The following is a 26,660-nucleotide window of genomic DNA, read 5'->3' as shown; positions in this document are numbered from 1 at the left end:
TCTGCCCGGCCACCCCGTCTGGGAGGAAGTGAGGAGTGCCTCTGCCCAGCCACCCCATCTGGGAAGTGAGGAGCACCTCTGCCCGGCCACCCATCATCTGGGAAGTGAGGAGCGTCTCTGCCCAGCCACCCTGTCTGGGAGGTGAGGAGTGCCTCTGCCCGGCCGCCCCATCTGGGAGGTGAGGACCACCTCTGCCTGGCTGCCCCATCTGGGAGGTGAGGAGCGCCTCTGCCCGGCCGCCCCGTCTGGGAGGTGAGGAGCGCCTCTGCCCGGCCGCCCCGTCTGGGAAGTGGGGAGCACCTCTGCCCGGCCACCCCATCTGGGAGGAAGTGAGGAGTGCCTCTGCCCAGCCGCGCCATCTGGGAGGTGAGGAGCATCTCTGCCTGGCCACCCCATCTGGGAATTGAGGAGCACCTCTGCCCGGCCACCCATCGTCTGGGAAGTGAGGAGCACCTCTGCCCAGACGCCCCATCTTGGATGTGAGGAGCACCTCTGCCCAGCCACCACCCCGTCTGGGAGGTGAGGAGCACCTCTGCCTGGCCGCCCCGTCTTGGAAGAGAGGAGCATCTCTGCCTGGCCACCCCATCTGGGAGGTGAGGAGCCCCTCTGCCTGGCCGCCCATCATCTGGGAAGTGAGGAGTGCCTCTGCCCAGCCGCCCCATCTGGGAAGTGTGGAGCGCCTCTGCCCGGCCGCCCCATCTGGGAAGTGGGGAGTGCCTCTGCCCGGCCACCCCATCTGGGATGTGAGGAGCACCTCTGCCCGGCCGCCCATAGTCTGGGAAGTGGGGAGTGCCTCTGCCCGGCCACCCCGTCTGGGAAGTGAGAAGCACCTCTGCCTGGCCGCCCCACCTGGGAAGTGGGGAGCGCCTCTGCCTGGCCGCCCATAGTCTGGGAAGTGGGGAGTGCCTCTCCCCGGCTGCCCCATCTGGGAAGTGAGGAGCGCCTCTGCCCGGCCACCCCATCTGGGAAGTGGGGAGTGCCTCTGCCCAGCCGCACCATCTGGGAAGTGAGGAGCGTCTCTGCCTGGCCGCCCCGTCTGGGAAGTGAGGAGCGTTTCTGCCCGGCCACCCATCGTCTGGGATGTGAGAAGCGCCTCTGCCCCGCCGCCCTGTCTGGGAAGTGAGGAGCGCCTCTGCCCGGCCACCCCATCTGGGATGTGGGGAGTGCCTCTGCCTGGCCGCCCATCATCTGGGAAGTGGGGAGCACCTCTGCCCGGCCACCCCGTCTGGGAAGTGAGGAGCGCCTCTGCCCAGCCACCCATCGTCTGGGATGTGAGGAGTGCCTCTGCCCCACCACCCTGTCTGGGAAGAGAGGAGCGCCTCTACCCGGCCGCCCCATCTGGGAGGTGTACCCAACAGCTCCAAAGAGACAGCAACCATCGAGAACGGGCCATGATGACGATGGCGGATTTGTTCAAAAGAAAAGGGGGAAATGTGGGGAAAAGAAAGAGCGATCAGATTGTTACTGTGTCTGTGTAGAAAGAAGTAGACATAGGAGACTCCATTTTGTTCTGCACTTAGAAAAATTCTTCTGCCTTGGGATGCTGTTAATCTATAACCTTACCCCCAACCACGTGCTCTCTGAAACATGTACTGTGTCAACTCAGGGTTAAATGGATTAAGGGTGGTGCAAGATGTGCTTTCTTAAACAGATGCTTGAAGGCAGCGGGCTCGTTAAGAGTCATCACCACTCCCTAATCTCAAGTACCCAGGGACACAAACACTGCCTAGGAAAACCAGAGACCTTTGTTCACATGTTTCTCTGCTGACCTTCTCTCCACTATTATCCTATGACCCTGCCACATCCCCCTCTCCAAGAAACACCCAAGAATGATCAATAAACATTAAAAAAAAAAGGTACAAGAAAAAAAAAAAGATAAGTTCCGTAAGACAAGAGATACTCTCAGAAAAAAGTCATTAGCTTTAGAAACTGTACAAAACGACCTAAGCCAAACACAGCAGCAAATAAAGGAAATGAAAGAGATGTATCAAAGTGCAGAAGCTAAAGTCAGTAAATCTACTGGAAAGTGGAACTGTGTGGAAGAGAGGATATGTCAACTCCAACGTGAAAATCCATGGCTTGAACAGCAACTAATTGATGTTCATCAGAAAGAGGATCATAAAGAGACAGTAATTAATATCCAAAGAGGCTTTATTGAGAGTAGAAAGAAAGACCTCATACTAGAAGAGAAAAATAAGAAGCTAATGAATGAATATGATCATTTAAAAGAAAGTCTCTTTCAATATGAGAGACAGAAAGCAGAAACAGTAGTAAGAATCAAGGAAGATAAATATTTTCAAACTTCTAGAAAGAAAATTTAAACATTTGGTTCTGGATACATGTTGAACCTAGTTGAATATAAAAATCAGTAGATAAAAACTGTGTTTACTATACTGTACAATTCCATTTACATGAAGCATCCAGAAAAGAGAAATATATAGGTACAAAAAGTAGATTAATGTTTGTGAAGGGCTGGGGCTGGAAGCTGATAGTGACTGCTAATGGGCGTGAGGGATCTTGCAGTGATGGAAATGCTCTAAAGTTGGATTGTAGAGATGGCTGCACAGCTCAGAAAAAGTACTAAAAATCTTTTAACTTTATGTTAAAACAGATACATTCTATAGTATGTAAATTATATTTCAACAAAGCTTTTTGATTTTAAAAAAAAGGAAAAATGTGTTTATTACATCAGCTTAGAAACATACCTTGTTTCCATAGAGGTGAGAGATGATTTACTTTGAGAGAAGACTTTGTGTCACCTATGACATTTTATTCGGCACAGAGTCATATTTTAAGGTAGATAGTCCTGTAGTGCTGAAATAATAATTTTAATGTCTTTATGTTGCCACATGTTAAGACCATGATGAAGGTATAAATGGAAATGTTTACACCTGAAATGAGTATTTTCAAATTAAAATTTAATTAAGTGATTTGCTTCAACACTTAATTCTAGATTTCCCAGATGAAGTGAAGTGTATTGCTGTGTCTTGTAATATCTTGCTTTAAGTAGTTTTTTATATATTTTAGTTGGTATAGCTTTATTTTTATTCATATTAATTTAACTTAAATCTGAAAATATGTCAGTCTCAAATTACATATTTTTTGACCACGTAATGTTTTAAAGGCACCTACTTGTTATAAAATTATAATTTAGGGTAAATGTGGTAAATTTTAGCAAAACTATATTTGATTTAGTCTTCCCACTGGTATTCATAATTTACTTTGAATATTTTTATTAATAATTAGCTCATAATTTTTATTTCAAGGCTCAATGACTATCATTTGAATATGACTTTGTCCAGTACAAAGATACTGTAGCTGCCTGTGATTTATGAGTTAGGCATTATATCCCCATTTTCAGACTAAAGAGGGGTTTACCTAGGGCCTCAAAGGCCATTGGAATTTTACTTTTATTCTGAGACAGGAATCTGTTGAAAGGATTTGAACAGTTGATTGAATATGTTAGGAACTTTGAGGTTGAGTTGAGCTTCTAAGATGATTGAATGGTGGGATGAATCTGTTGTATAAGAGAATACCAATTTGGCAGGAGGATAACACATTCTGCATCCCTCACTGAATTCAGTAATAAATAAAAATGTGTACCTGTGATGAAAAGAAGGCGAATTGATGTGTGTGAGATAATTTTCAAAGTAGGTATGTTAGAGTTAAATGTTATTAACATAATTTAATAATAAGGCAATTTATAAAATCAGTAACAAAAATATTTTATCAGGTGGTTGTGAGACAACTTCAACAAGAAGTGGCTGATTCCCTTAAAAAATTAACTATGTTAGAGTCTCCACTGGAAGGTACATGATGTCACATTAATTTGGAAGAGACACGGGCCTCAAAGAGGAAATTATTTCAAGTGGAAAGTCAAGTATGTATGGAATTTAACATGTCAACAGTTATTCTGTAGCTGGTTGAATTATATAACATGTTTTAGGATACTAATTTTGGCAGAAGCTTGATTTTGTACTTTCATTATAATTAATTATTTCCATTTTACTATCTTTATAATGTACTTTTTTTTTATATTGTGACTTTTGTTCTACCATTTTGAAAAAGGATTGCATACCTTTTCTCTTACAATATGTACCCTTGGAAAAGTTGATAATTATACATCATTCCTCAGAGAAAATTGACTTTTTTCCTGTTAAACATATTTTCAAGTAATTTTTGTATTGCTATGATGAGGCAGGCCAGATTAAATCAGAGGACAATGTTTAATGGAATGTTCCAGAAAATTGTCTTATTTCTTCACTTTTGTGAAAGGACACAGAATCTGTGTCTATTTCACAGATTCTAAGTTAACTTGTATAGAAAGGCCATTATACTATTCTTTGAAATGTACATGTTTTATGTCAATTTACAAACTATTTGAAAAGTTAGGCATTTTCTTTATTTACCTTTTATTTAAAATATACTATAAAAGTATAGAAATATTTAGATCTGATATAGTATGTACATCAAAAATTGAGAGCTGAGAAAATTATCTTGATCCTGTCATTGGATTTTAAAAACAGTTTCACTGAGATATAATTCATGTATCAGACAGGTCACCCATTTAAAATGTACAATTCAGTATCTGTTATTATATTCACAACATTTTCATCACCCTTAAAAGCAATGCCACATCTCCTAGGCATGACTGCAACCTTCCTCCATATCCCTCCACCTACCCCTGTTGTAGGCAAACACCATCTACTTTTGTCTCCGTAGGTTTGCCTGTTCTGCATATTTCATATACATAGAGTTAGACAATACATAGTCCTTTGTGACTGGCTTTTTCACTTAGCTTAATGTTTTCAGAATTCATGCATGTTTTAGCACACATTGGTAGTTTATTTCTTGTTATAGTTAAATGATACTCTATTGCATGGCTATACTGGTTTTCCATTCATTCATCAGTTGATGGACATTGAGGTTAGTTTCCACTTCTAGCTATTATGAAAAATGCTGCTGCAAACATTCACTTAGAGGTTATTATGTGGACATGTGTTTTTATTTCCCTGCCATTGGACTTTATCCTCAGAGTTAATTGGGCAGATTTCAGCACTTGTCTTGCTCATGCTATCCTTTCTGCCTTCTCAGTTTCTGTTCATCTAGTCTCATTCGTTCAGACCTGGCAGACAATTTTTTTGTTTTTATGAAGCTTTCTCTGACTGTTCTGACTCTCACTGACCTTATGTGTTAGGAATTGTTGTCCAGTCTGTGCAGAAAAACTTAGTCCTTAATTTTACATGGCTTTTTCTTTTTTTATGGAAGATAATTTTGTCTCAGTATAAATTTGCTTAATGGGGCAATAATATATAATATGTATGGCACCTATCCTTGCATAAATTGAAAATATTTTAGCTTAGAAGTTTTTAGCATACAATTAAATACTTTATACCATACCAATTATTTGTTCTTTGAGACCTTGACACAGTAAGGTTTATATTCTAAATGTATTTTTAGCAATTAAATATCAAATCTAAACCAATTAGTCTAATAGAGGAGACTTGTTCAATCACATGTTTATGTTTTTCTCTCTATGAAAAAGAATCTAAATTGGCTTTTTTTCACTATGCAGCCATTACTGTATTTCTGGACTGCTCCCAGTTTGTCAGCTGAACAGTTCTGGCTGCAGCTTGTCTGATGACGGATAGCACAGCCCCTCAATCTCAGTGCTCCACAGAGTGCTTGTGAAGGCAGCACCACAGCAACAGTTGCTCAGAGGGAACGGATTCAGGAGCCTTGGTTTAGCAATAGAGTCGCAGGGTTTTCAGCTCAGTGTCTTTAGCCTGTCTGCTGGTCATGTCAGTTATGTACTATTCCATCCAGGAGGTGCTATTTACATTGTAGTACATACATAGTCATTGCCTACTGAGTCATACACAGAGAAAAGTAATTTATAAATTATGTGCCCCCCATTTGCTGCAACTCTCAGTGGTGAGAAGAATGATTCAGTGCAGCTATAGGAGACTACTTCCATTGGCATGCCACCTGCCTAACATACACAATTTTGTTAAGATATACAATAAAATTATTATGCTAATAGCAAATATTTTATGTAGCTCACTATGTTCCACATACTCTTGTAAGTGCTTCATGTTAGTCCCCAGTAAACACCTGGTTGGGGGAGGTGGCTCATGCAAGTAATCCTAGCATTTTGGAAGGCTGAGGCAGGAGGATCTCTTGAGCCCAGGAGTTTTAGATCAGCCACAGCAATATAATGAGAACCTGTCTTTAAAAAATAAATAAATAAATAAATAAATACTTAGAGGCATGGTGGTGCATGCCTGTAGTCCCAGCTACATTGGGAGGCTGTGGTAGGAGGGCCGCTTGACCTTGGAATATTGAGGCTGCAGTGAGTGTTGATCAAGCCACTACACTCCAATCTGGGTAACAGAGTGAGACTCTGTCTCATAAATAAAACGTTTTGTATAGATTCCCATAGAAGTGAGTTAGACATCAGGCATAGTATTATTAGCCACTTTGATGTCTGCCTTGGGAGTAAAACATATAATAAGGGACAGCATTAAACCATCTCAGTCAATAGCCTCTAACTTCTCAAGAAGGTTCTTATCTCCTGAATTTCTAAGCAAGAGACTACCTGGATGAAGACGTTTGGTGGACACCATTTTGAGATGAAGAATCTCAAATGGGAAGAAGGGAGATGTCTACTTGATTGGAGCTTCCCAATGATATATTTGAGTGTCACCCGAAAGAAACTTTAGAAACTTTAGAACAAGACTTTCATGATGCCATATCTCTATGGAAAAGGAAACTCTTTAAAAGAAAACAAAGGCAAACAATTGATAATCTGATTCTCATGGGAAAGTTTTCATTATAAAAGAAAAAAAGGGCTGGGTGCCATGGCTCATGTCTGTAATCCCAACATTTTGAGAGGCTGAGGTGGGTGGATTACCTGAGGTCAGGAGTTCAAAAACAGCCTGGCCAACATGGTGAAACCCTGTCTCTACTGAAAATACAAAAATTAGCCAGGCGTGGTGGTGTGCACCTGTAGTCCCAGCTACTTGGGAGTCTGAGGCAGGAGAATCACTTGAACCCAGGAGGTGGAAGTTGCAGTAAGCCAAGATGGCGCCACTGCACTCCAGCCTGGATGACACAGTGTGACTCATCTCAAAAAAAAAAAAAAAAGAAAAAGAAAAAAAGGGACAAAGTATACTGGTCCAAAAAAGAAGAAAGAAAGAAAAAAAGGACAAAGTATACTGGTCAATATCGTAATGGTGAGACTGTCCCCCTTTGAGATTAGAAAATAACGGTATACTCAAAGTAACATCAATAAGAACCAACATAAAATAGACAAGATTCACTATCTACAAAAGTAATCTGCACCAAGTAGCAATGTCTGAGCGTGTGGTTTGGAATATTCTCTATAATATGTGTACTAGAAGGAAGAGGCCTCAAGAAAAAGGTCAGAGATGGAAATGTAGATTAGGGAATCTAGGTCAAAGTTTTGAGATTTTAGGAGTCCTGAGAGAATTTAAAAAGTGGAATAGCAGCCAGGCATGGTGGCTCACGCCTGTAATCCCAGCACTTTGGGAGGCCAAGGCAGGCAGATCATGAGGTCAGGAGTTCAAGATCAGTCTGGCCAACATAGTGAAACCCCATCTCTACTAAAAATATGAAAAATTAGCCGGACATGGTAGCACACGCCTGTAATCCTAGCTACTTGGGAGGGTGAGGCAGGAGAATCGCTTGAACCCAGAAGGTGGAGGTTGCGGTGAGCTGAGATTGTGTCACTGCACTCCAGCCTGGGTGACAGTGGGGGACTCCATCTCAAAAACAAACAAGCAAACAAACAAACAGAAAGGAATAGGACTGAAGAACAGAGGTTGCTGCATTTAGAAATGAAGCGGGGTCAGAGGAGCAGAGGGAACATTTGGTCACTGCTCGCAGCTGCTGCTGAGTAAAGCAGGATAAAGTCCTTCATGACCCTTGGACTTTTTTATTGGAATTATTAAAAATCAGATTTCCATATTAAAAACACAATAAGTGATGAAAAATAGATTTCTGGATGAGACCATGTGTCACAGAGTCCAATGGAAGGGGAGAAACAGGATAATAGAAAAACCACAAAAAGTAGACAAAAGTTGTGTTTTTGTTTATTATAGAAAAAAACTTTATTTAAAGAGAAAGGGTTAAGAGAAAGGGAAAAACTGAAACCTGTGGGTGAATACTTACAGAGAATGACAGTATTTAGCTCAACCTGAAGACAGATGAGGATCAAAAATGTAATGGAAAATAGATAAGAGTTTTCTAAAAATCTTCTTAGATGTAATTTAAGAAAACTTGGAATATCTTAAACTATTAATGACAATGTTTCCAGAGCATCTTTAAAAAGTAAAATGTAAATATAACTACACATTTTTTACTAACCCTTAGTATTTTATGTGTAAAAACCCTTGTTTGTAACAAACATTTTCGGCAGTTTAAATTTCAGAAAATATAATGAAATTATGTATCATTTTTAGCAGTTTTAAGAAAAGTGACTATTTCTGAAATCTGCCCTTATTGGCATCAGGCTTATAAAATGCACTTTATACCCCTGCCTAAATACATATTACTCATCAACTTATGAGAAATAATATTTTTAAGATAAAAGAGGGTCTCTAGATTTTACAAAAATAATTTTAAACACTTTTTTTAAGCCTGAAGAAAAAAATGAAGAATTAAGGAAACCTTTTGTGTTAGTATCATCACTGGAGTATAATGTGAATCAAATAAGAAAGTAAAATCATGAATTAGAAGAAGAGGCAACTGGGTATGGTTTTCATATTGTAGAACATGTTAATCATTTATTAATTGATTTAGCTCTAATTTTACTTGACTAAAACTGAGATACAAATTCATTTTATGTCTCCATTTTCATAATTAAATGAATTCTATTTTAAAATGTATTTCAGAAACTCACAACACAACTTTATAGGCATGTGCATCATGGGGTTGGGAGTCAGCTGAGCTGCTGGGGCAAGGTTGGGATAAAAAAATTTGTATTAAAATATGTATAAAAGAGAAACAACATAATCTGAAAATTTTTTGAATGCCAAAATATTATACTTATTTATTTATTTATTTCTATTTTTATTTATTATTTTTTTTTGAGACAGTGCCTCTGTCTCCCAGGCTGGAGTTCAATGGTTCCATCTTGGCTCACTGCAACCTATGCCTCCAATCAATTCTCCTGCCTCAGCCTCCTGAGTAGCTGGGATTGCAGGCATGTGCAACCACACCCGGCTAATTTTTGTATTTTTTAGTAGAGAGGAGGTTTTGAAAAGTTGGTCAGGCTGGTCTCAAACTCCTGACCTCGTGATCTGCCTGACTCAGCCTCCCAAAGTGGCATGAGCCACCGTGCCCAGCCGCTTATTCTTTAATGATTTTGAAAACAATGACAAAGCCTTGGACATATAATGTCGTCCACTCTTCATTATCTAGTTTGAATTTTTATTTCTGAAGATATTTTTGCTGTCTGTGGTCATCTTTTCTTCCTTTTGTAGTATCCTCTACTGCATTCAAATTCTTTAAAGAAGACCTATTGTGTCATTCTTTAACATCAAAATTTATCTTGATATATAGCTTATATTTTGTTTTTGCTTCTTTTTCTTTTAGATATAAAACATGGAAATTTACTCATTTTACACAGATACCTCCGTTGTATACACGAAGTATACATGTTATTAAACTTCTGTTTTACAGAAATAAATTTCATATATATAAAAATATATGTATAACTTAAAAGTAAAATGAGCATTCATGTTTTGATCACAGATTTTTTTTTTAAAAAAATGGAATGTGTCTTTGAAGCCCTGAACACAGCTACTTTTCTATTTATTTACTGAGCACTTAAATTGGTTTTCTGATTCTAATCTACATTATTCTGTCATTGCCTTTCTCTACATGGTTTTGTATCTCTTTCATTTTGTTGACATTATGTCAGCAAAGATCTCTAGATCTCTTCTTCAAAGTCTTTAAATCGTCACGCATCTCTCTGCCCCTTTCTTGGTCTTCTCTTTTTCTACATTGAATAATGTCCTTGATGCTTTTTGTGTGTACTTTTTTTTCTTCTTATAGACTGTGAATGGGTATCAAAATGTAATTTTTTGTCTTTCTCAAATGTATGTGTTTTACTTTTTTATCTTGGTTACTCATTTCTAGGTTATGGCTTATATTTAGTAATAGGTTATTTTATCTTACCATACCAACATGGATATGAATAGTTTATTTACAAAAAGTGTACGGTTAGGCCAGGTGTGGTGGCTCACACTTGTAATCACAGCATTTTTGGAGGCCAAGGTGGGTGGATCATTTGAGGTCAGGAGTTCAAGACCAGTCTGACCATTCAAGGCCAGTCTGACCAACATGGTGAAACCCCATCTTTACTAAAAATACAAAATGAGCTAGGCGTGGTGCTACATGTCTGTAATCCCAGCTACTTGGGAGGCTGAGACAGGAGAATCACTTGAATCCAGGAGGCAGAGGTTGCAGTAAGCCAAGATCACAGCATTGCATTTCAGCCCGGGCAAGAAGAGTGAAATTCCATCTCAAAAAAAAAAAAACAAAAAAAAAAACTGTATGGTTGTAATACCACTTTACCTGCCATATATGCCATAAAATTGTTCTTCATATTATTTATCTAAGATTATAATTTCATATAGAGTGCTTCCAAACTATGCTCAGTTGAAACTGAAAGGATCATAGTTTATAGATGTGTTTCTTTGATATGCTATAACATAATATCGTTTAAACAATTATTAAATATTTACTCTTAAAAATATTTGACTTACTAATTCTGTACGTTTCTGCAGATATAAGAAACTCCTGGAAATGACAATAAATGTGTTAAGTGTATTTGGAAATGAAGACTTCGATTGCCATGGAGACTTAAAAACAGATCAACTGAAAATGAATATTCTGATTAAGAAACTAAAACATAAGGTAATTTTTTTAAAAAAAATTATCTTAAGGTCTAGATTACATGTGTGAGATGTGCAGGTTTGTTACATAGGTAAACGTGTGCCATGATGGTTTGCTGCACCTGTCAATCCATCACCTAGATATTAAGCCCCGCAGGAATTAGCTACTGATCTTGATGCTCTACCTCTTGACCCCAACAGGCCCCAGTGTTTGTTGTTCCCCTCCCCGAGTCCATGTGTTCTCATCGTTCAGCTCCCACTTATAAGTGAGAAAATGTAGTGTTTGGTTTTTTGTTCCTCCATTAGTTTGCTGAGGATAACAGCTTCGAGTTCATCCATGTCCCTGCAAAGAGCATGATCTCATTCATTTTTATGGCTCCATGGTGTATATATACCACATTTTCTTTATCCCATCTATCACTGATGGACATCTGGGTTGATTCCATGTCTTTGCTATTGTGAATAGCGCTGCAATGAACATGCAAATGCATGTATCTTTATAACAGAATAACTTATATTCCAACATACGGTAATTTTAAATCAGTTTTGGGATTAAAAATCACATAATTTGGGAACATATTGATAATAGAAAAACCCAAATTCTGCCAAAATATGTTGAGAAAATAGAGGGTAAATATATCTTTTCAGACTTTAAATGCATCAGCCTCTTAGTTCATCTTCCCCAGATGTGGGAAGACCTAGAAGGGAAGAGATTGGGCTACCTTAATGAGGGCCATTTCAATCTCTTGGCCCTGCAGCAACCATTTCAAAATATGTCAGAAAAATATATTTGGGGGTTAAATATTTTGATTTCCTTCAGCTTCTTCTCTCTGTGATGCTGTACCAGAATCAGGTGAGAAAGTAAGCCACATTATAAGAGTTAATAAAACTCATCTGATGAGATTTAATAGTTTGAAGTGTGTGATTCTCAGACCCTTTAGATAGAAATTGGGGCCAAAGAAAACAAGGTCTTATTCCTCAATATAAATCTCTCAGTGCTTTAAGCAGTCAAAGAAAGATTTTTCATTTAATTTTACAGAATTGATACTAATGAAAAGGATAGTTTTAAAAATATAAACCTCTTTTCTATAAAAAGGACATGCTGTTGATTCTCTTATGTCTTTAACTCTGGCCAGTGATCTGAAACCAAGCAGTACCTGTCTCCAGACCACTAGTACCAAATTAATTTGGGGGGACTGGGTAACAGGTTTATTGAGAAATAATGAACACACCATGCAAGTCACTCATTTAAAATATACGAGTCATTGACTTTAGTATTTTCAGAGAGTTATGCAGTCATCATTACAATCAATTTTAGAACGTTTTCATCACCCTGAAAACAAACCCCACATCACTTAGCCATCTTCACTAGTTTTCCCTTCCTCCCTCAGCCGTAGGGAACCACCAACCTCCTTTATATACATTTGCCTATAAGCCTCTGAAATAAAAAGCAAGTGGTCTACTGTGACTGGCTTATTTCACTTAGCATAATTTTTCATGCTGCATCTGTGCTGTAGCAGGTATTGATGTGGGGTTTTTCTCATTAGTTCAGCTACATCTGGGTTCTTCTCTCATGACCAGGAAAAATTAAGCACGCAGACACATTGAAGGGTGAGGAGGACAGAATTTATTAAGTGAAAGGAAAGCTCTCAGCAAAGAGAGTGGTCCTGCAAGCAGGTTTCCACCTCACAATTGAATACCAGGAGCACATGAGCTGAAGCGGCCAGGCTCCTCCCCTGCATAAGGCATGAATTCCTGGTGGCTCCACCCCATCCCCCCAGTGCATGTGGGCCTCTGGTCTGCTGCAGGCATGTCCAGGCAAGACAAGTCCAGGTTCCCTTATCTGCACTTAACATCTGGTGTAAACACTTGTGGAGCTGGTTGGAGATTCTCCAGGGACCCTTCCATATCTGCCTAGGCATTTTGCTGTCTCCTCCTAATACAGTATCAGTACTTAATTTCTTCTTATTGCTGAGTGATATTCCATTGTATGGATACATCAAACAGTTTATTTATCCATTCACCAGGTGATGGACTTTTGGGTTCTTTCCCACCCAAAGGTGATGGACGTTCTGGTTCTTTCCACTTTTTGACTCATATTAGTAATGCTGCTGTAAACATTTATGTATGAGTTTTTGTGCTTGCATGATTTTTATTTTTCTGGAGTATATACTTATGACTGGAATTTCTGGGTCGTAGGGTAACTTCATGCTTAACCTTTTGAGGAGCTGCCAGTTTGTTTTCCAAAGTGGCTGCATCACTTTACATCCCCAGCAGCATTGGATAAGGGTTTTGATTTCTTTACATTTTTCCTAACACTTATTTTCTCTTTTTTATTGAACAAAGATTTTATCCTGTGGTGTGAAGTGATACCACATGTGGTTTTGATTTACATTTTCCTAATGACTAATTACATCAAGCATCTATTAATGTGCTCATTATCCATCTTTACATCTTCTTTGCAGATACATCTATTCAAAATCTTTGCCCATTTTTCAAATTGAATTATCTTGTTACTCATGAATTGCAAAGGTTCTTTACATATCCTATATATGTAAGTCGCTTATCAGGTATATGCTTTTCAGATACTTTCTTCTACTTAGCGTCTTGCCTTTTCACTTCTTGATACTGTCTTCTCAGGCACAGCAGTTTTCAATTTTGAAGTCCATTGAATCCATTTTTCCTTTGGGGTCATGGCTAAGAAAACACTGCCAAATGCAGTCACAAAGATTTATGCCAGTGTTTTCTTCTGAGAGTTTTATAGTTTTAGCTGTTACAGTTAACTGTTTTATTTTGAGTTAATTTTTAAAAAAGATATTTGGTCCTAATTTATTTATTTTTTGCATATGGATACCCAGTTGTCCCAGCACCATTTGTTGAAAAGACTATTCTTTTCCGATTTTGTTCTTTTGTTAACTTTATATAAAATCAATTGACTGTAAATGCACAAGTTTATTTTTAGATTATCAATTCTTACTTTGTTTATGTCTATTATTATGCCAAGGCCAAAATGAATTTACTAAGAAGTTTTTTTCAATCATGTTGCATATTACCAGTTGTCTTATGTCGTAATAAAAATTAAATTTAGTGGAATATCTTTAATTTCACCTTTTGTGTCTCAAAGGAGTCTCTGGGCCAGCTTATACCTTACTTACTCTAAGACATGATGGGAAGCCAGGCCTATAAGACACACTTTATTTCTTTTTTCTCCATTCAAATCTTTAGTCTCTTTTCCATTGCCTCCTGCTATAGTTTTGTTTTCAGTAAGTTTTGGTCACAGGATCTGCTGAGATAGTCTAATATTTAGTGCATTATGTTTTCCTAACTCATTATAATTCATAGAATCTTCCATAGATGTTTACCATCCAGGAAGGAGAAGTTTAAGTCTGAGCCGCCAGCTTTCCTCAGTGAAAATCAAGTGAAGTCATCATCTTGCAGTTCACAGATCCTCTTTCCACCTGGTAGCTGGTTCTCTTGGGTAGCACTGTGGCTAATCCTTTTCTTGGTGCAGATCTTGCATTCTCAGAAACCACAGTTAGCTGTATTGACCACCTTTTACTGAAACAGAGATGCACAGCTCTGCTTTCTAGCTCAGTAGAGGATTCTTGGAATATAAAGTTTGACTCATTCCAAGAAAAGGTCTTAGGAGTGCAGCACTTCAAAATCAGGTAATGTTCAGGCAATTTATCAGAGACACATAGTAGATTAGTATTTTGACTTTCAAAATTTCAGAGCCAAGTTGTGTGCTATAGAGAAGTCTTGTGGTATAGCATAGAGATGGGATGGTCTTAACTTCTCCAAACAAACAAGCTTGAAGTAAGGTAAAGGAGAAATTGCATTTGATTGCTTAACACTCAAAGCACACTATGTTTATTTTACTTCTGTGAAGACTAAAAATCATTTCATAATGTTCTCCTTATTTCCTCATTGAGAAAAGGAAAATAAAAATTAAATACTAGATTGATTAATAAATACTGAAAGCTTATCTTTTAGAATTTTAGTTAATTCAAATCAGGTAAATGTCTGATTTTGATTGTGTAACCAAGTATTTCTAGTTTTTTTTCATACCATATGTCTTCTTCTTGCTTCCCAGTCTTATTTCCTAACTTGAGGGGAAACTGTAAGGAGACACCCTTGCTTTGTTATCAGAGTTCATAATTGAAGGAGTTTTAGGAAAAGTTCCTCCTCAGCAGCTTATGTCTCTGTCCTGGTTATCTGCTGCTTCTCAATAATGTTTGCCATCAATAAATTAACCTCAACATGTGTTAGATCCTACTTTAAAGGAGACTCTTTTCTGCTGCATAAGTTATGTTTCCTGTTGTCTCTTTTTAAAACTTATTTTTCTAACGATTACCCAGAGTTTTGTGGCTTAAAAGAAAAATATTTATTTTGTTAATGAACCTGTGGTTTGGAAAAAGCTTGGCCAGGACAGATCGTCTCTACTCCCCTCAGCTTCCCTAGGAACAGCTATCAGTTGGGGAAATGGAATCCTCTGAAGCATTGCTCGCCCACATGTTTGATGGTTGATGCTGGCCATTGGCTGGAACCTTGGTTGGGACAGGCAGCATGAACACTGACACTGGCACTGCCAGGTTCTCTTTGTGGCCTGAGTGCTCTCACAATCTGGGGGCTGGGTTCCAAGGGAAAACAGTCTGAGATAGGTAAGCCGCATGGTATCTCTTTTACTGCATTCTATTCATTAGGAGGAAGTCAGTAAGGTTGGCCCATATTCTGTTTTTTTAAATGGGATCAATGTAACTTCTCTTTTGTTTTAATTGACACATATATACATAATTATGGGTTATAGAGTGATATTCTGATACATGTAAATAGGGTGTAATGATCAAGCTAACTAGCACATTTACTGCTTCAACCATTTTTCATTTCTTTGAATTGTGAACATTCACAATCTTCTGGCTTTTAAAAAATATACAATAAATCATAGTTAACCATATTCACCCTACAATGCCACAGAACACCAGAACTCATTCTTCTTATCTAACTGTAATTCCATATCCATTAACCAACCTACCTTCCCCTACTTCTTTGAGATTTTTGTTGTTGTTAAGAGACAGGGTCTTGCTAGTGTAGTCTGGGCTCTGGGCAACTGTAGTCACCCAGATGGGAGACAGTAGTTTGATCATAGTTCACTGCAGCCCCCAACTCTTGGGCTCATGTGATCCTCACACCTCAGCCTCCTGAGAAGCTAGGATTATGAGCATGCACCCTTGCACCCATCTGATTTTTGACTTTATAGAAATATCTCCCTATGCTGCCCAGGTGCTCTGGAACTTTTGGCCTCAAGTGACTCTCCTGCCTTTGTCTTTCTAAGTGCTAGGAAATTACAGGCATCAGCCATGTTGCCCAGCCCTCAATTTTTCTTTAGCTCCCACACAGGAGTGAGAATGTGCAGTATTTATCTTTCTGTGTCTGCACTTAACATAACATCCTCCAGACTGATCCACGTGGCCACGATAACAGGATTTAATTCCTTTATACGGTGAATAGTATTCCATTGTGTATGTGTGCCACAGTTTTTTGTCTTTTCTTTTGGTGATGGATATGTAGGTTGATTCCATACATTAGCCGTAGTGACTAGTGCTACAATAAACATATGAGGACAGGCTTCCTTTTGATCTATTGTTTTCTTTCTATTGCCTGAATACCCAGTCGTGGGCTTGCTGGATCCCTCAGCAGTTCCATTATTAATTTTTTGAGGAAACCTCATGTTGTTTTCTATAGTGGCTGCACTAATTTACCTTCCCACCAACAGCACATAAGAGTTTACTGTTCTCTGGAACCTCACCAGCATTTTTTTTTTATCTTTTCCATGATGATAATTTATTCAAATTGAAGCAAGATTATATCATATTGTAGATTTGATTTGTATTTCTCTGAGGATTAGTGATAATGAGCATTGTTAAATTTATTTATTGGCTATTTGTATTTCTTTTTTCTAAAAAAAAGTATAGTTAGATATTTTGCCCAATTTTGAACTCAGATTTTTTTTACTGTCAAGTTGTTTGAATTTCTTGTACATTTTGGATATTAGTCCCTTATTAGATTAATAGCTTGATGATATTTTCTCCCATTCTACAAGTTTTCTCTTCACTCAGTTGTTAGCTGGACAGAAGCTTTTTAGGTTAATGTAGTACCATTTGTCTATCATTTGTTTTTTGCCTATGCTTCTGATATCTTACCCATAAAAATCTTTGTGCAGACTGTCCTCAAGAATTTTCCCTATGTTTACTTATAGTAGTTTGATAATTTTGGGCCTTACATTTCAGTCTTCAATTGATTCTGAGTTTATGTTGTTATATGGTGTTACATAGGAAGCTAGTATCATTCTTCTCCATATGGATATTTAGTTTTCCCAGTGCCATTCATTTGAAGAGGCTGTCCTTTCCCCAGTGTATGTTCTTGGCATGTTCATCCAAAATCACTTGGCTGGAAATATGTGGATTTATTTCTGGGTGCTGTATTCTGTGGCCTTTACCCCAAGAATCATTACTTCTTAAAATGCAACTCAAATTAGCATGAAACATTTGCAGTTTAAGGAAAGGCTTATGGCATCAGAATACTTATTTACAGGATTCATTATTTTGTGTTTTTTGAGATAGGGTCTTTGTCTGTCATCCAGGCAGAAGGGCAGTGATGTGGTCATAATTCACTGCAGCCCTGAACTCTGGGTACAAACCATCCTTTTGCCTTGGTCTCCCAAATAGCTGGGTCTACAGACATGAGCCACCATGCCTGGCTAATTTAAAAAACACTTTTTTTTGTAGAGATGGGGCCTCACTATGTTGCTCTGGCTGATCTCAAATTCCTGGCCTCAAGTAATCTTTCTGCCACAGCTTTTTAAAGTGCTAGGATTACAGGCATGACCCACCATGCCTAGTATAGAGTGTTATATTATTTTCAAAGTCTTATTCCTAGAGCCATTTATTGACTTTGGCCTAAATAACTCAGTGTGATATTTCTGAAACTTTTTTTGACATATTATGGGGAATGATAATGAGGGAAGCGGGATAGACACCTTTTACTAAGAGATAGCTTAGTGCTACTTAAGGAGGAACAAAAATAAATTATCAGAAAAATAAAAGTAAGATGAAGTGCAAAAGTTCTGTGACAAAGATGATGATAGTTAAATAATGTATTTTTGTGACTCATGGTAGCTTTAACTTTGTTCTTAAAATTCTGAGTAATTTAAGGGTTCACATTTGAAGAATCTACTGCACTACAGATAACAGTTTATTCCGAGTAAATGCATTTCAAAATTTGCTATTGATTTTGTATTAGATTATTCTCAGCCTACTTCATTATCAAGCTATACTATTTTATTCATGCAGTTTGATGATCTTACAGCAGAGAAGGAAGCTGTATCTTCAAAATGTGTCGATTTGGCTAAAGACAATCAAGTTCTTCAACAGGAGTTATTATCTATGAAAAAAGTACAACAGCAATGTGAAAAACTTGAGAAGGATAAAAAGATGTTGGAAGAAGAAATATTAAATCTTAAGACACATATGGAAGACAATATGGTAGAACTTAGTAAACTACAAGAATATAAATCGGAGCTAGATGAAAGGGCAATGACGGCAGTAGAAAAATTAGAAGAAATCCATTTACAGGTTAGTTTTTTAAATCAGGTAAGTTTATCTGTAATGTGCTTTCCTTTATTTCACTGCAAATTATATTTTGGATATGTGTATATTGTGTTTCCTCTGCCTCTCTTGTAGCAATTTGCTTTGTAGAGTTTTAGAAAAAAAAATGGCATCTGTTTTTTCTTTTAAATATTTAAATTTCCATTATTATAACAAAATCAATCTTTCAGAGTAATGATTCTTACTATGGAGTCATTTGATGATTAAGACCAGTTGGCATAAGAAAAAGTTGTGATTTAGAAATTATGTGATACTTTTGAATTGGTCTTAAGCTACTTTGTTCATTGATCACTTTTTAAAATTATGAATGGATTCTATTGCTTTTTATACGACCAGATTACATTAATACTAACATAATTATGGTTTCAAATTTTTATAAATCAGACTTGATTCTGAATTCAGTTATTAGTTTTGATACTGCTGATAAACATTTTAAGCTTCAGCCTCTTTTTTTAACATATTCAAAATTGCTCTTTGAATCACTGGCTCAAAATGAAAGGCAACAAACATATAATAATTAGGTTATAATTGTTTTAAAAATATATTCTTTTCATTTGTTTTAGAAATAAACACAATATGAAAAACAATTAGAGCAGTTAAACAAGGGTAATACGGCTTCACTAAATAAGAAGGAACTCACACTTAAAGATGTGGAATGTAAATTCTCCAAAATGAAAACTACTTATGAAGAGGTTACAACCAAATTAGAAGAATACAAGGAAGCCTTTGCAGTAGCATTGAAAGCTAACAATTCCATGTCAAAAAAATTAACGAAGTAAGTCCAAACATACACTTATAGAAAATGAATTCAGCTCAATAATTTGTTTTGAAAGCATAATTTTTAGTGAGATGGCTTCAGGATATTAGTAGGAAGTCAATGCTAATTTGACAATGTAATTTTGGAAAATAATGTTAGTAAGTAATCTTACCTTTAAAATGTTATTCAAGGATAGTTTCTGTCTCTCCTCTCATTTTTTTTTTTTTTTTGCTTTTGTATGGCTTTTTTCTCCTGAAAAGTCTCTTGTAGTTAATCTGTAAGTTTTTTTACTAAGTATTTTTGAAGCTTTATAATTAATAAAGTGATCTTGTTTTAAATTACTTGTCAGAATTTCCCTAAATAGTAATATTAATGAGTTTATTTTTCAGTAGATCACGACCTAAACCCAAAGTGTCAAGTGGTACTGCTACTCTGGGCACAATCGTTTTTAATTGTGATCTTTAGTATTATGACTAGAGGGTGCCTCAAGAAAGACTACCTGTGTAACATATTCAAGATGTTATAGAAAGGCATCCTTATGAAATAGGGAATAATTATCACAGGAATTTAAAGAAGTGTAATTCACAAAGCGGTTAAAAAATAACACCTTGTTCAGTCTGAAGGGGTGTGTGGAAGGCAAAAAGAACAAGCCCCACCTCCAGTGCCTTGGTCACAGTGCTGGGGGCTAATTGCCTTCAGAGATGCTTTAGTTCTTTTTGATCAACAACCAAACAATCTAGTTCTCCCCTAGGAGTTGTTGCTCTGAATTATTCCTCATTACCAAATGTTTAATTGGTCCTAGATAATTGGTGAAATGTACAAGGGTGAAACCTGAAACTGGTTTACTAAACACAAGTATTCCTAGATTTTTTTTGTTCATTTTAGTTTTCTTAACCTACATTAAGGAGCACAACATGATGTTTTGATATAATTATTTCTAGTGAAGTGGTTCTTATAATCAAGCAAATCAACATATTCCTTTTCCCATGTTGTTACCCTTTAAATACAAGTATTTCAAGTGGAATCTTCAGAATCTTACAGGTAGAGCCATTTTAGAAGGCAGCAAGTTTTACCCGTTGAGCCATACATCACTGGTAGCCATTTCTCTTCCCTGTCTACTTTGTTTGAGCTGCTTCTTCAGTATAAATCACCTTAGAAACACAGGTGCTTCTTTAGAGTGATTTTAAAAGTATAATTCCTTACAATAGGTATGCTCTCACACATCTTCAGTGTGAAAACACTGTTTAGTGGGTAATTTGGTTTACTCTCAGGGCAAGTTTTTAAAAACTACAAGTCATTAAGAATCATTTAAGGAAAAATGAAATACTAAGCATTTGTCTTTGCTATCTTTATAGATCTAATAAGAAAATAGCAATGATCAGCACCAAGCTCCTTATGGAGAAAGAGCGGGTGAAATATTTTCTCAGCACTCTTCCTACAAGGCGAGGCCCAGAGTCACCTTGTGTTGAAAATCTTACTAGTATAGGACTCAACAGAAAATATATTCCCCAAATGCCCGTAAGAATTCCTACTTCAAACCCTCAGACCTCAAATAACTGCCAGAACTACTTGACTGAGGTTCGTTATATGACCGTTTCTCTTTAGGGTTTCATTTCTCTAGCGTAATTCTTGTTTTTAATTTGGTGAAATACTGAGTTGTTCTGTTGACTTATGCATGTTAAGTAAAGATCATAATTAGCTGTGTTAACACAGAAAGGAAATGGGAACTTTACATTTTTTAATTCCCTGGAGCTCTCATTTTTGAGAGATATCCATTTGCTAACTTTATTCAATAAATGTGACTAAACTGACATGTTTAAAATGTCTTTAAAAGCTGCATTTAAGTTAGGTTTTAGAAATTGCATGTTATTGCCTTATAACTGATGATATACTTTGAGATACTTTGGCTTACTCTCTAATTGATTGTAGTTTGGCTGTGGTTCATACCACATTTTTCTTTCTTTTTTTTGAGGCAGTGTCTCACTCTGTCACCCAGGCTGGAGTGTTGTGGTGCCATCTCCACTCACTGCAACCTCCACCTCCCGGGTTCAAGTGATTCTCCTGCCTCAGCCTCCCAAGTAGCTGAGACTACAAGCACCCACCATTACACCCAGCTAAGGTTTGTATTTTTAGTAGAGACAGGGTTTCACCATATTGGCCAGGCTCTTCTTGAACTCCTGACCTTGTGATCTGCCTGCCTCAGCCTCTCAAAGTGCTGGGATTACAGGATGAGCCACCGCACCCGGCCCTTGTCACTTTTAAAGTTTCTTTGCACCAGGCAGGTGCGGTGGCTCATGCCTGTAATCCCAGCACTTTGGGAGGCCGAGGCAGGAATGTCACGAGGTCAGAAGTTCAAGACCAGCCTGGCCAAGATGGTGAAACCCCGTCTCTACTAAAAGTACAAAAAAAAAAAAAAAAAAAAGCCAGGTGTGGTGGCGGGCACCTGTAATCCCAGCTACTAGGAAGGCTGAGGCAGAGAATTGCTTGAACCTGGGAGACAGAGGTTGCAGGAGCTGAGATTGCACCACTGCACTCCAGCCTGGGTAACAGGGAAAGACTCCGTCTTGAAAATAAAAAATTAGAAAAAAGTTTATTTGCACCATCTCAACTCTTCCCACCCATAATCACAACTGAATGATTGGCATCCAAACACTTTACCACATATGGATGTTTATTATTTAGGAGAATCCAAAATAATTGCATTTTATGAATTAAACCAAACACTAAAATGTTCATTTCCATTTTTATGTTAAAAGCTTTGTGCTTGGCCAGGCGTGGTGGCTCACACTTGTAATCCCAAAATTTGGGGAGGCCAAGGCAGGTGAATCACCTGAGGTCAGGAGTTTGAGATCAGCCTGGTCAACATGATGAAACCTGTCTCTAGTAAAAATACAAAAATTAGCAAGGCATGTTGGCAGGCATGTGTAATCTCAGATACTCAGGAGGCTGAGGCAGGAGAATCACTTGAACCCAGGAGACAGAGGTTGCAGTAAGCCAAGATCATACCACTGCACTATAGCCTGGGTGATGGAGACTCCGTCTCAAAAAAAAAAAAAAAAAAAAAAAGGCTTGTGCTTTTCTTACATAAGAGTACATCTTCTGGCTATAAAAATCCTGGAAGAAAACCTAGGAAATACTCTTCTAGACATCATATTTGTCAATTTATGGCTAAGTCCTCAAAAGCAATTGCAAGAATAACAAAAATTGACAAGTGTGATCTAATTTAGCTAAAGAGCTGCACAGCACGAGAAACTATCACGGGATTAAACAGACAGCCTAAAGAATGGAAGAAAATATTCACAAACTATGGGTATAGCAAATGCATATTATCCTATTATCCAGAATCTATAAGAGACCTAAACAAATCAACAAGCAAAAAATAAATAACACCATTAAAAATGGGCAAAGGACATGAACAGACTCTTCTCAAAATAACACATGTAAGTGGCCAACAAACATTAACAAATGCTTACCATTGCTAATCAGAAAAATGCCAAACAAAACATCAGTGAGATACCATTTCACACCAGTCAGAATGACTTTTGTTAAAAAGTAAAATAAATAAATAAATAAATAAAAGATGTTGGGGAGGCTGTGGAGAAAAGGGAACACACACCGTTTGTGGCAATGCAAATTAATTCTGCTACTATGGACAGCAGTTTGGAAATTAAGAACTAAGAATGACCATTGGATGCAGCAACCCCATTACTATACTAGGGTTATACTGAAAGGACAATAAATCATTGTAACAAAAAGATGCATGCACATGTATGTTCATTGCAGCACTATTCACAATAGCAAAGACATGGAGTCAATCCAGGTGCATCCAAGGTAGATTGAAAATCCAAGGTAGATTGGAAAATTCCATATATACCATGGAATACTAAGCAGCCATAAAAAGAACAAAGTGACATCATTTGCAGCAACATGGATACAGCTGGAATCCACTCTCCTAAGCAAACCAATGCAGAAACAGAAACCAAGTATCTCATGTTTTCACTCATGTGGAAGCTACACATTGGGTGCACATTGTCATAAACATGGGAATAATAGACACTAGGAAATAAGAGCAGGGAGGGACAGAGTGGGCCAGGGTTGAAAAACTACTTACTGGGTCCTACGCTCACTACCTGTGTGATGGGCTCAACTGTACTGCAAACCTCGGCATCCCTCAATATGCCTTTGGAAGAATCCTACAGAGGTACCACCTTAATTTAGAATATAAACTAAAAAAAAAAAAAAAAAAGAAAGAAAAGTTTACTATAAGTAGAGAATAGAAATTTCTTTTTAAGATAAAATTTATTGAAGTAAAAAATGGATTAAACTTTTATAAAGGGCAGAGTTTTCTAAGAATTTCAAAGCAATGCATTCATTGCAAAAGATGGCTTTAATTACTTAATCTTTTTTTTTTTTTTTTTGAGACAAGGTCTCACCGTCACCAGGCTGGAGTGCAGTGGTGCAGTCTTGGCTCACTGCAACCTCCATTTCCTGGCTTCAAGCAATTCTCCTGCCTTAGCCTCCCAAGTAGCTGGGACTACAGGTTCGCATCACCACGCCCAGCTAATTTTTGTATTTTTAGTAGAGATGGGGTTTCCCCATGTAGGCCAGGATGGTCACGATCTCCTGACCTTGTGATCTGCCTGCTTTGGCCTCCCCAAGTGCTGGGATTACAGGTATGAGCCACCATGCCTGGCCATTGTTTAACCTTTGTACTAATAAAACACTACCTTTCTAAAATCATGTATATGCAATAGATCAATATTAACTGTATTTTTGTCCGATTACTCTAAACAGCATTACACATATACATCCTCTGTTATCTAAACTTAAAATAAGTAGAAATTTTACTTTATTTATGTGATTATTTTTCTATTTAAGCAAACTTCAAGTTATGTCTAGTCACTAAAAATACTAAAGGCCACATTTTGTAAATGATACATTATTTTCATGATAATGTTTCTTGTTTAACTTAAACATTATTATTATTTTTACTTATTTTAGATGGAGCTGGACTGTGTGGAACAAATAATTAGAGAAACAAAGAGAAGTATGTTGCCAAAATTTATTAATTAAATTTAGGTTTATTTTAGAAATAAAGTGTAAATAGCAAATGGCATTCCTTTTCATTCTTGGGTTAGTAGATACTACGTCAAGTATTTTTTTTCTTACACACATCTAATGAAAGATGTGAAAACAAAAACTTTCACAGAGAAGACTGTACTTATGCACCATAAATTCATCATGTTCTGTAGCTTAAAAAATTCCCAAGAAGTCTGTGCATCTCTTTTTCACTGGCTCTACACTTTCTTAAGTTTTGCCATCCTCATGGAACTGTCAGCCAGCACACTGAAACGATTCTCAGAAAACACAGGCATCATCAAGTTCTCAGGGTTTTGGTAGAAATTGAAGGCCAACAGACCTTAGACTCATTCAGAAATGCTTAGTTGAGCAATAACCCTTCATAAGCAGTCACTTGACAGGTGACATTTTAAATCTCCTGTCATTTACTGTGTCATTGGCTTACACTTGTTCTCAGGAAACATTCCAGATTTTTCACCATGAAATAAAAACACCCATGTCAATGTAATTCTTGTCAAGTTACTCAGCCTTGTCTCTCACCACTTACTTCACTCTACCCTTTGCTGTAGCCCAAACTTGATGGAGTGGAACTCTGCAGGGCTCTTCCTCATCTCAGGCTCTTTGCCTTTGCCTCTTCCCTCTATCTGGCAAGCTTTTCCTTGTCCTTCAGGTATCAACCTATGATATCTCCTCCATCAGAAAGCCCATGATGTTGACATAAAAGTGGGTAGGTGTCCCTTCTGTGTGTTCCAGTAGTGCCCTGCTGTATACCTGTCATGGTATCTATGACTCTATATGGACATTACCTGCCTGTCTGTTTTTTTAGGTTATAGCATATGACTGTTGAGAGGTGGACCACACCATCTTCCTCTTGTAATTACAGTGCTGGTTCTAGTACCTTGGCACATGGCTGTTGATTACATGAATGAAGAATGAAAAAGCTCTGATATTTAAACACAATTAGAATTAATGCCATGTGTAAATTATTAAATAGTAATTTTGTATTGTAAATGTACATACATATTTCTCATACTTATAAACTCTGATAAAGTTCACAACTCTTTAGTTTTTAAACTCACATTTAGTTAACTGAAGTGCTTTAGGTAAAGGACATAATTCTTTATTTTTCTTTCTAGCTGTTGCTGTGTTGGACACTTGCTCCCATCTATTTTCTTCTCTAGAATCCACTGGTAAGCCACATCTAATGAAGAGAATATTTAGCCATAAAGTTTTAAGGAAAAATTGTATGATTTAAAAGATTATAAAACTTTATTACTGGGCTATTTACACATTTTAATTGTTTCTCATAAAATATATAACATTACAATATTTACTGAAGTAGGATATTTTTGTATCATATGTACGATGATAATTTATAGGGTATTTTAAATGATGTTTTTTAGCCTCCTTAAGTTTTAAGTGGATCTTGCAAATGAAAACAAGTATTATTTAGTTTGACATACTCAAATTGCCCAAATATCAGCTGTTTAAACAACCAAGTCATCATTGATACTTTAGTAAAGGTTAGTAAAGGTCATCGAAGGCTTATTTGCAGTTTACAGTTTTTATTACTTAGGAGACTTAAGGAGTACCTGCCAGGTTTGTCCATGCTAATGCTACTATTTTGTTTTTGTAGTTCAACCATATTTTGTATGGAGATACTTTGAGGCTCTGTAAATATCTGGTTACTCCTCAGAACCCACTAGATTTAGCATTTCATGGATGACTTGTGTTTGAACAATTATTACTATGATGGTTGCCAGATGATTATTTTCTTATTCTCTTCTTTGGTCTACATGGAGAAATAAAACCAATAAATAAGGGAGAAGGAAAGCTCATGATTCTGATGCTCCAATTCCCCAAGATTAGGCCAGTGGTAGACATTCCAAGCTGACTTGTTGTGTTTTTGATTTGTCTCCATTACTCTGTCAGCACTTTTTTACTTTCTGGCACAAGATGTTCTAAGCTCATCTTGTATTTTCTCTGCCCCAGCGCTGGAATGAGTAATTTTTTTTAGAAGCAGAGGTGGAGCCACTGAGGAAGCACAGGCGAGCCCTCCCCAGCGTGTACTCACTGGTCCCCAACAGAAGAACAGCTGCTGCATCCACTGAGGTACCAAGAAACTAGCAAAGGGCCTTCTGGCTCTCTGGGGACAGTCCTCATGTGGTCCCTGGCTCAGCCTCAGAGGTTCTGGATTAGTCTTCCTGTAGCCTCTGTGCTGTGTCTTTAGATCGGGGC

General features: G+C 37.6%; 1 pseudogene across 1 annotated transcript; it reads left to right on the top strand.

Annotated features, from left to right (window-relative positions):
* The first annotated feature begins 2,228 nt into the window (after positions 1–2,228).
* On the top strand, positions 2,229–26,660 carry LOC110091776 (ankyrin repeat domain 18B pseudogene; annotated as a pseudogene). The gene is made up of 8 exons (NR_146644.1): positions 2,229–2,441; positions 3,734–3,880; positions 10,815–10,944; positions 18,272–18,553; positions 20,699–20,921; positions 24,345–24,390; positions 25,559–25,612; positions 26,415–26,660. The product of NR_146644.1 is annotated as an ankyrin repeat domain 18B pseudogene (transcript).

The sequence above is a fragment of the Homo sapiens genome, chromosome 21, assembly GCF_000001405.40.
Source record: "Homo sapiens chromosome 21, GRCh38.p14 Primary Assembly".
NCBI lineage: Eukaryota > Metazoa > Chordata > Mammalia > Primates > Hominidae > Homo > Homo sapiens.
This window is presented reverse-complemented; position numbering and strand designations above follow the sequence as displayed.